We start from the raw sequence: 11,842 nt of genomic DNA, 5'->3' as shown, positions 1-11,842 counted from the left end.
ATTCATCAGCGAGAGGGGACCTGAAAGCAGGTCGCCATCTGTGAGGGTGAGTGTGGGGTTTTTATGGGCTTATAATGGGGGAATGCATGCTGATTGGTCCATGGGTGGTCTTGGAAAAAGCACCATTTAATTGGTTAAACGACATCATTCAGAAAGAAGCAATTGAGAAAGAGTGGGTAAGACAAGGATGGAAGTTCTCACTCTGGTCGTGGACTTTAACTGGAACTGGTAGCTCGGCTTTCAGCCTTTAGACTGTCATTAGCTTGAAGGTGGGGTTTCACTAGGGACCCATCTCTGTCTGCCTAGGAATTTGTCTGTCTCCTGTCACTATCAAAATCTCCAAGCAGATGAGAACAGTTTTTTCCTTTTATTATCTTAGGTAGTAAAAAAAAAAAAAAGAATCAAGTGACTCTGCACATTAAAATTGTTTGAAAACTGCCCATGTAGACTGTCAGCCAAATACACATCTGTCTCCCTCTACTAGGCTATGAGCTTTGATAGGGTAGAAACCGTGGTTTTCACATATTAGTAATTCTAATGCTCTGTAAAATTACTGTGCATAATGTTCTTGAATAAATAAATGATCTAGGCCAAGGATTGTCATATTAGTCTACTCTGGCTGTGTGACAAAATACCACACACTGAGTGACTTAAACAACAGAAGTATAATTTGTCAGTTCCAGAGGCTGAAAGTTCAAGATCAAGTTGCCTGCAGAATCAGTTTTTGAGAAGGCCTTTTGTTTGGGTTGTAGATAGCTGTTTTCTGGCTGTGTCCTCATATGATCTTTCCTCTGTATGTACACAAAGAGAAAAAGCAAGAGAAAGAGAGCAAGGAGGAAGGAGAGAGAGCACTAGCTCCCTTGTGTCTCTTCCTCTTCTTCAAGGACACCAGTCCTATTGAATTAGGGATCCATTGTTTTGACCCTCTGTTACCTAAATTTTCTCCTTATATGCTGTATGGCCAAATACTGTCATACTGGAGCTTCAACATATGAATTGGGGCAGGCAGAAGGTGGGTAGGAACATCAAAACGCAATGGGCAACTTTTTAAATTAAATATTTAATTTAAATTTAACAGGTAACTTTCTACACTTAAAAAATTGGACAGCTTTTTAAATAAAGGGACAGATATACAATATTTTATATTCTGCAAACTATATACAGTCTCTGTTACAACTACTTAACTCTGCCATTGTAGCATAAATAAGTGTGCTGTATTCCAATAAAACTTTATTCATAAAATGAGGCAGGGAGCTAGATTTCCCCTACAGACTATGGCTTTGCTGACACAGATATAAAATTGTTAAACTTTCTTACCCACCTACACATCTATCCGTTTTTATAAGTAAATCTCCTCTTGCAATGTTTTGATGATTTTCTGTTACCTCTAGAATATGGCATAAACTCCTAGGCACAGAAGTCTTTTTATATTGAGTCAGGAAACTTCTTTCCTACTCTGCAAACAATGTTCATTTAAAAAAAAAAAGCATCTTCATAATCCATGCCTTTCTCCAGAGTATTTATTTTCTGTCTGGAATCTCTCTCTCATTCCCATCACTGCTCCTGCCTATCTACCTGGAAAGCAACCACCTAGACTCTGCCATCTTTTTTTTTTTTTTGAAACAGGGTCTCTGTCACTCAGGCTAGAGTGCAATGTTGCTATCTTGGCTCACTGCAACCTCCTCTTCCAGGCTCAAGTGATCCTCTGACCTCAGCCTCCCAAGTAGCTAGGTTCACAGGCACACACTACCACGACGGGCTAATTTTTTAATTTTATTTTTTGTAGAGATGTGGTTTTGCCTTGTTGCCCAGGCTGGTCTCAAACTCCTGAACTCAGGTGATCTGCCACCTCAGCCTCCCAAAGTGCCTGGATCACAGGCGTAAGCCACCACTCCTGGCCAGCTCTGCCATATTTGAAGCAGCTCAAACTCCAGAGTTTTGTTTTTCCTCCTCTTTCTCCTCCTTCTCCTTCTCCTCCTCTACCTCCTCCTCCTCCTTCTCCTTCTTCTTACTCTTCTTCTTTATTTTTTCCCCCAATAACATAACATAGAACCTTCATTTGATCATTATCCACTCACCTTCCCTTATGCTTTGTGAAACTCTTGGGCACTTCTGTATTACCAGCTAGTACTAGCATTTTGAGAACATCCTAGGAATACTATGTATTTTTTTGCAGCTGGAATGTGTTCTCTGACTAGAATTCTATGCTCTAGACCGGTGGTTTTCAACCAGGGTTAATTTTGCTCCCCTCCCCACAGGAAATTAGGCAATGTCCTAAAATATTATTGGTTGTCATAACAGGATGGAGAATAGGTGTGTTGCTACTGACATCAAGTAGATAGTGCTTAGGGATTCTTCTAAACATTTTACAATGCACTGGACCACCTTCCACAACAAAGAATCATCGACCCAAAATGTTAGTAGTGGCAAAGTTGAGAAGCCATGATTTAGGCTGCTCAAAGATGTTTCTTTCCATAAAATTAGCTGGTACTATAACCACTCTCTTCGATGATTTCTCATTGTATTAGCATGGGTTTGTATGGTTTTCACACTGCTTAACTCTGTATCTACCCATTTATTTTCATACTAACCAGTTCTGATGACATGCTTATCTTAAAAGGATCAGAGTAATAAGAGATTTTAATGGAGGTCATGAAATAGTTGTAGGGGAGACAGAGGAATATTTGACAAGGAGCATATTGACAAGGAGACAGAGAGATATTTGACAATATGTCCTACTCACAACTAGTAAATTCATCCAAGTTTCTATCATCATGCTGGGGCACAGCAGGTCTGCTTCTGCACAGACTTGGAGTTTTGGGATGAACGTACCAATTTAGAATTATTTCAGGATAAATTATGTTATGATTTGAATGTCTCCTCCAAAATTCATGTTGAAACCTAATCCCTATTGTAAAGATAGAAAGAAGGTGAGAAATCTGACTATAGTATTTGAAAGGTGGCACCTTTTGGAGATGATTAGGATTAAAAGCAGTCATAGGAGTGAGAGGCAATAGTGGCTTTCTAAGAGGAGACAGCTCTGAGTAGCAGGCTTGACCCTCTTGACCTGTGACATCTTCCACCATGTTATAACACAGCACAAGGCCCTCACCAGAAGCCAACCAGATGCAGCCACGTGATCCGGCACTGCCCAGACTCCAGCACCAAGAGCCAAATAAGTACCTTTCTTTATAAATTGCCCAGTCTTGGCCGGGCATGGTGGCTCACGCCTGTAATTCCAGCACTTTGGGAGGCTGAGGTGGGCGGATCACCTGAGGTCAGGAGTTTGAGACCAGCCTGGCTAACATGGTGAAACCCTGTCTCTACTAAAAATACAAAAAAAATTAGCCAGGGATGGTGGTGCATGCCTGTAATCCCAGCTACTCAGGAGGCTGAGGCAGGAGAATCGCTTGAACCTGGGAGGTGGAGGCTTCAGTGAGCCAAGATCATGCCACTGCACTCCAGCTTGGGCAACAGAGCGAGCCTCCAGCTCAAAGAATAAAAATAAAAGTAAAAGTAAGAAAATAAAGAAATTGTCCAGTCTCAGGTATTCTGTTATAGTAATGGAAAATGAACTAAGGTAAATTAAGAGTTAATACTTCCCTTCTATGTCTTGGAGTTCAGAGTAATAGAATAAAATTAAGAAATTCTTTGTGGAACATAGAAAAAAATGTTTAAAAATAGAATAATATAAATAACTAATGTAAAAAAGTAAAATACGAATAAATCAATACTTTTTTTTGAAAGAAACAAAGAAAGAATTGGTAAATTGGGACAGGAAAAAATGATGGAAGGAAGGAAAGAAGAAAAAAGGGGAGAAAGGAAGGAAGGAAGAAAACAACTGGTGAATTGGGACAGAGACCATGAGGTCTGGAGTCAAGCAGAGGCAAGAGCAGGTTTAAGTTCTGAATTAATTAATTAATTAATTAATCTATTTATTTGAGACGGAGTCTCGCTCTGTCACCCAGGTTACAGTGGCGACATCTCGGCTCACTGCAAGCTCCGCCTCCCAGGTTCACGCCATTCTCCTGCCTCAGCCTCCGAATAGTTGGGACTACAGGTGCCTGCCACCACGCCCGGCTAATTTTTTGTATTTTTAGTAGAGACGGGATTTCACCGTGTGTTAGCCAGGTTGGTCTCCATCACCTGACCTCGTGATCCGCCCGCCTCGGCCTCCCAAAGTGCTGGGATTACAGGCATGAGCCACCGCACCCGGCCTTAAGTTCTCAATTTAGTGAGTGGTATCACCTTGGACCTTAGACATGTTTCTTATTTTTTTCTCATTCTTTACCTCAAAAAAGGAGATAGTATTGTTATGGAAATTAGATAAATATATACAAAAAATATCAATCGTTGTGTGTGGAACGTAGAAAATGTTAAATACATGTGTAAAAATAATGTTTGACAATCTTTAGAGCATAACTTCCTTGAAATAATAGAATGTTTCTAAGATAAGGTTTTTTAGAACAAGGCAGACCAGAGATATATTTTCTATGAATATATTTGTGCTGGTAGCAGTGAAGTTAATAAAAATCTCTTTTTTCCCCTTTCCCTAAAATAAACCAAGGATTTTAAGTGAACCCCCAGTTCAATTTCTTTCACTGACAGTTCCACTTTTTAAAGGAAAATACATTAAAGACAGATGCTGTTACTTTCTGTTACCCCATTAGTCCATGCCAGTATCACCTGTCACCTAGACAACGCAGGCTCCTGAGGTATGCATTTTTTTTTTTTTTTTTTTTGAGACGGAGTCTTGCTCTGTGTCCCCCAGGCTGGAGTGCAGTGGCGCACTGAGGTGTGTTTTTTATTACTTCCCTGCTTCTCCTTTTACTCTCTTTCAGCTTAAAAAAAAATCCTGTTTTAAAAGGCATAAATCTATTAATTTGCCGTCTGTTTAAGAGTCTTCAATAGCTTTTGTAATGCAAATAAAATGAAAATTCTTGTCGTGGTTCCCAAGGACTTGTTTGGTTTCAGTCCTGACTTCCTATTCACCATCCACTCATGTGCCCACCTCTGCTGCTTTCTCAGCTCCAGCGGCGACAGCTTCTTCAAGTTCTTGATGCTGTTCAAGTGCATCAAAACATGCTCTTCCCCACAGCCTTTGCAGAGACTCTTTTCTCTGCTCTTCGTAAAATTGACTTCTTATCCTTCATGACTCAACTTAGAAGTCAGTTAGTTGAAGACTTTTACACTACTCTTCTAAAGTAGATTCTATAATGCTGATCTCAAAATCGGCACTATTTTATCCCCCTTTTTACTTAGCATAGAACGAACTCATATGTATGTTAAATTGCTAACCTACATATATTTTTAATTCCCCACTAAGCTATAAACTCCATGAAGGCAGAGAACATGTGTGTGCAGTTTACAACCATACACCTACAATCTATCAGCATGTCTGAGAAAAAAATACTGATTACATCAATACTGATTGGATGAATGCATAAATGAGTAAATGAGCAATTAGAAATAACTCAGGATATAGTATCTTCAAAATTTATCAAACGTTTCTTGGACTTGGAGTAGGCAGAAATGGAGAGTTGTAAAACCGATGTTTTACAATGTCTCAGTTTCATTTCAAGTGTTGGTTTTGAAATTCTTAATAAAAATGCATGAGTAGCAGCATAAAAATATGATTCAGTATTTCCTTCCTTGAGGGCTTCTTTGTATTTATAGATAACTATATGCCTTGTAACCAGTAAATTCTGGCTGAGTTATAGGTTGTTTTAAAGAAAGTATTCTATAAATACAAGATGGTTTTTGTTTACTTCTTATTCTTAGCTTTCTATCTTGTGTGTATATAGAATACTTGTGTATTGTTCCATATAATTCAGGTGAGACAGTTATTAATTTTCTTAATCTGAAATTTGAATTGTGTCACAGTAACATTTTGATATCAAAATAATTCTGAAAATCCTAACTTTATATAGCTTAAAAGTACTTTGTCATTGTTGTTGCATCTATTATTTAAAACAAAACTCTGTAGAACAAATGTTATTAACATACATAAAAAATGAGGCTCAAAAATGTTTAAAAAACTTGTTAAGTCACGCAGTTATTGAGAGACAGGGACAGTAATAAAACTCCAATCAGACTGTAAACTTCATGTTTATTCTTCCACATGACAGCTATCTTTCCCTACGAATGCATATCTTTCTTTATAAATACATATCACCTATGATCAGTAAAGAGAATTTTACCATGACTTTGAAATTAATAATTTGTTTTTCCTATGCTGTGCTACATTTTGTAAAACCAGTCAAATTTCTTAACAGATATTTTATAGAACTATCAATTGGATGATAGCCACCATGTACGTATTTTTGAAAACAATACTGCGGCTTCTCAGCTACTTTAGATCATATGGAAGACAGAAAAAAGTATTAGACATAGATGCTGAATTTGATGAGATTAAGTTGTATTAATTTTTATTCTCCAAGTGTTTGTTGTTTCATGCTACATGAAAAAAGCACTGTGGCCCAGCCAAGAGAAACACAAAGCATGCCAATGTGCTTGCACTTGAACTGGTGAAACAAATTTTAAGTACATGACATTTCCAAATAAGAGCACAGAGCAGTGTGTGAATACTTGAAAAAAAATCCTGCTGGAAATAGGGTATTGCTGTGGAAATTCAGAAGAGGAATAGATTAGTGTGAATAGCAGTGGATGATGTGGAATTTGAGTTATACTTTAAAAGTCAGAAGGTAGAAGAAGTCTAGGTAGATAACGGAATGAGTTGGCAGTCTATGGTAGGAACATCTCACTAATATCTCTTCTTAGGGACTTCAGAGAATTTATTTTAGAATATCTCTTAAGTATGAAAGAATCATAAATCAATTACAAAGCACTATGAGATAATATATACTATTAAATTGTATCGATGCTTCAGCATATAAAGTTGTAAAACCTGGGTTCCTTTAGAATTAGGCACTAATGTTAAATATTGTGCTATTCATATATCTTTAATGAATATGCTTTCCTACACAATATTGCATCTCTTTAGGTCAGCTTTTGGTCCAGTGACTCACTCACAGAAACTCCAAGACAGATTAAACTAGCAAGAGTTGAATATCTGAATTTCCAAAATTATGAGGCTACAAAAAGAAGCATAGGTACTCATAAGACAAACTTATTCACTAATTAGTTACCTATTTATAAAATTAGCCCCCAAATGGTCTTAATATATTTGTAGAGCTATACATTGATAATTGCAAACTGTTTTACACTGCTGAAAATGCAGTGGAAAATAATGCAAATAGATAGCTAAGTGAAATATGCCAATTTGAAAAGAAATATAAAATTTCATGAAATCAACGAAAATGTTGGAGAATATTTCAGATTGCACATGGACTTTTAGTATACATATGTAAAGACATGTATAATTCTCTATGTTTATATATAAAAAAGGGTATATATATATATACAAACTATAATTTATACACAAAAAGTTGGTTTGGGCATATTTCATTTTAATATTCACAGTTTTACAAATGACTTAACAGTTCATGAAATTTTATAATATGTAACGAGGATATTCTACCATAGAAGCATATGTTGTTTTATTGATTAAATAAAATTAAAAGTTGATTTATTGGTTATAGATGTAGTGTATGTAACCTATCTAAGAAGGAATTGGAAGAATTTGAATAGTACACACTTAACCTATTTTCCAATATTTACATTATAATTATTTATTTGATAATTGCCTTTGGGAGGAAGAAAAAACATAAGAATGCATTCCTTATAAATGTCAAGAGGCTCACCTATATATTTATGAAAAAATAATTTGCTAACCTTATCTGTCCTATTTTGTGACAGGGTTAAATCATACCCTAGTGGTCTTAAAAAATACTTTTTATCATCAACTGTCTAACACTAATAAAATTACAGAGTGCGTGCCTCTGTGTGCATGTGTGTGTGTACACATGTACATGTGTGTAAACTTATTTTTATCTCCTGTGAAATCTGAGTTATCTTTAAAGCTTCCAGAGTAGGGATTATATGGAATTGGTGTTCAGTAGAATATGCCAAATTAAACCGTTTTTTATAATAAGCTCTTTTATTTTAATACACTGTTGTATTAAAGGTGTGCTAAACCTTTAATACACCTTTATGTTAAGTGTAAGAGCACTTAAGAGCACTCAAGTGTAAGTGCTCTTTGGGGAGCACTCCTCAAGGCATTAGCAGCCCCAACATCAGCCAGTCACCTTTGTGTATTAAAATAAACACATTTCGCAAATACTCATATAATACTATTTTAGGTGCTATGTGCTTACAAATATTAATTCATTTAATTTTATAACAAGGCATAAGATACTTTCTATTCTCATCTTCATTTTACAGACCATGAAACTGAAGCACAGAAAGATAAAGCAATTTATATGAGGTCATAAAGTTAGTAAAGGGCAAGTTCAAACACAGGCATCTGGCTCCAGTGCCTTTTCCCTAAATCATCAACCAGTTATTTGATCTGGTAGTTTACTTTGAAAAGTAGTAAAATGAATTAAATTCCACTTTCTTCTCTTATTACAGATTAAAGTTAGGACCAAATGCTGCTCAGAAATTGTTTTAATCTCAAAAGTAGTTGGCAAGTTTTCAGAGTTCATTTTCAAGGCCTGGTGTATGGTAAGTTTCCTTATAATGAGTTCTCTAACATGTTTGGCTTTACTTGGGTGACAGCTTCAGGGAAATATTATGACCCTGTTTCTAAGACTGATCTTTCTATTTAGCTTCATAAATTGCTTGATGTCAGCAAGGACATAAATATAATCTTTAGGTTTTGTGGAAGATGGTATCTTGAATAAATTTCCAAAAGCCTTTTAGAAAATAATGAACAACAAAACTGACTTTTCTTTGGTATTTATAGACAAGCACTAAAGGCAATGTCATCTACAAACTCAGAGGTAAATAACCTCAAAGAGGCTTTCAGCACACTCCAGAAGTATAGTAAGAAAAGCAGCAATCTGGGAAGTTCTCAGTGATGAGGTTACCATAAGTATAATCCAAAGTTCAGCAACAACCCTCTAGTTTCTGTTCATGTTCTTTGCAATCCAGGGGCTGTTCTAAACTGTCATCACACTCCTCAAGCCATTAGCAACCTCAACATCAGCAAGTGATATGCCCTACTTCTCCCCAGATAAATTATGATATTGAGGATGACCTTCTCTTCCCTGCTTCTGCCCCTGGACTTTGCATACAACCAACTCTGCCCATCAGGGAGGTGTAACTGTGGCTAAAACGTCATGTGCTAAAAATTCCTTCCCTATTTATCCTCCTATGTCTTGCCCACCAAATTTTTGTCTTCCTATTTCTCTTTAATCCTTTCCTTTTCAGTGATTTCTTTCCTTTGGAACATAAACATATTTCTTTACCTCAAAAGTCAAACCCCTGACTTGATCCTGTAGTCTCCTCTAACTACCTTTCTCTTTCTTTCCACTTATGCTTCTGGAAATGTTGTCACAATTTTCTGTCATGTTTTTCTCTTCCCATTGAATTTTGATTCTTCTGCTGTGTGGATTTCCTCCTTGAAATCTTCAGTGAAACAACTGAACATTCAGAGCTATTTCATTTTCAAAGATTCTCACATGTGAGTATTCCTCTTTCTGAATATAATCCCCTTTCTATCTCTTTAATTTTGTTCTTCCATCAAAACTTCTCTTTCAACACAGGCTGAGATTAAAGTTTATTTCTTATGGCTTCTGAGACATCTCTCCCTAAGAGAGCAGAAAGGCCTATTCATGTTAATATGTCCAAATCAAACCCACTACACAGATGTACTCTCAAACCTACATCTTTATTTCCTATCTCAGCTAATGAGATAACAATCTCTCCCTCTCCCAAAGTAGAGACCTTGGATCCATCTTTAATTATTTCCTAACTCTAATTATTAAATCCAATCATACACCAAAAAATGATGTTCTGAATACTCTCTCTTTCATTTGTGCACTCCTTCTTTGTCGTATCTCTCCTGGACTAAAATAATAGTTTCTTGCAGGGTGTTGAATAGTGTCCCCTAAAAAATCATGCCCACCTGGAACCTCAGAATGTGACCTTATTTGGAAATCGGGTGTGCAGATGAAATTAGTTAGGGATCTCAAAATGAAGTCACTGTATTATTATTGTAGATGATTATGTACACTAAGTTCAAGGACTGACGTCCTTATAAAAAGAGAGGGTACACACACAGCCAACAGAGAGAAGAAGGTCATACGAAGACACGCAGAATTTGGACTTATGCGGTCACAAGTCAAGGAGTGCTTGGAGCTACCGGGAGATGGAAGAGTCAAGGCAGGATTTTCCCTGGAAGATTTGGAAGGAACATATTTCTCCTGAAACCTTGATTCTAGCCTTCACTAATGACAGAGAATAAATTTCTGTTCTTTTAAGCCACTCAGTTTGTGGTACTTTGTCTTACAGAAACCCTGGGACACTAATAAATTTCCTAAGTGGTATACATAACATCTTCTAACATTATGATTCTATGGAATGCTTTGATAATCAGCTAAAAGTTATCGGCTGTCTCCCAGGAAAGATGCACAAACATACATATTCAACATTTTGTGTTCAATTTTTCAAGTTTCCAGGATTTCCAGGGCCTCTCTACAGATCCTCTTCGTATCTACACAGCTGATTGTGAACTCTGTTCTTATACAATGTATCCAAAGTAAATTAACTACAATACAACTGTGATTATGCCATTCCAAATTATAAATATTAACATCCTTTCTGAACTACAAGACCCTCTACAGTATGACTGCATTTGTACATACTGCAGCTCTCCTGCTGAACCATCCTTTGTTCTTATCATACCAAACACATACGTTTCCAGGACACACTATGCCTCTGTGCCTTTGCACATGCTATGCGCTGCCTGGGACTCCCTAACTTCCATCTGCACATAACCTTCTAATGAATTTCCAGGCATTCTGGAAGTTTTATATCACTCATTTTATCTATGAATCAAATGATCTCACTGACAAAGTATTATGTTGCTTTTACAACATGATTCAAGTCCTTGACTGTGACGTATTCCTGAAATACAAGGTGCTTTATTTTGAGTGTAAGAAAATTTTAATTATAATATTATATTGTAATATGTGGTTTAAATTTCTATATGCATGCATCATATTTCCAATTTCTTACAGAAAAGAATTATTATAATTGTATAATATATAATGTATAACACTAAATATACTATAGTATTAAAACTATAGGCTTTTATTTCAATTGGTGAAGATTAAAATCTTAGAATCATGATCTGTGGGCATTCTGACCTTGACTAAATGCATACACTTTATGTATCTAAGCTTTCTTCACTGTAAACTGGTAAAAATGCACTTAATTCAAAAAATTGTGAGGATCAAAGTAAAGTCTAAAACTTTAGTACGGCATCAGGTATGTAGTAAGAATTAACTTTACAGTGGTTATATTTAGCAAATCTTATTAGTTTATACATTTATAAGACTATAGCAACATGTCTTAGTTTATAAGTAATACCTCAAACCCTTTATTTTCCTGGTAATTTATCCACTGAAGAAAGTGAGCTTTGTTGATTGCATACTCATGGTTCAGTTCGATGTGGTCATTTTTCTCTTTACATTCTGCTAAATGGCTGCTGGATTTAGAGATTTTCATCCCTTTGACATGGTTATAGATGATTATAGATAGTATCTGGAAAGATCTATTAAAAAATGCTATCTGGTTGTCTATCTTTTTGTGATTTTAGTAGCCATTAATGCTACTACTTGTATCTATTAATTCATTGGCAGTTGCAATATGAAAGTATTCTAATGCTATCACTTCTCTTTTTTATTATTATCTGAGATGTTGTTATACAGAGACA

The 11,842-nt window shown here is 36.2% G+C and overlaps 1 long non-coding RNA gene across 1 annotated transcript in view; it reads left to right on the top strand.

The window, feature by feature from the left end:
- Positions 1-11,842, top strand: part of LOC101927414 (uncharacterized) — a 55,601-nt gene continuing 43,759 nt past the window's right edge. Inside the window, exons 1-2 of the long non-coding RNA NR_187911.1 lie at positions 1-46; positions 8,533-8,625. This is a non-coding gene — a long non-coding RNA (uncharacterized LOC101927414). The remainder of the gene's footprint in view (positions 47-8,532; positions 8,626-11,842) is intronic.

This window comes from Homo sapiens, chromosome 4 (genome assembly GCF_000001405.40).
Source record: "Homo sapiens chromosome 4, GRCh38.p14 Primary Assembly".
NCBI classification, from domain to species: domain Eukaryota; kingdom Metazoa; phylum Chordata; class Mammalia; order Primates; family Hominidae; genus Homo; species Homo sapiens.
Note: the sequence above shows the minus strand (reverse complement) of the source record. Positions and strands in the feature narration are given on the sequence as shown.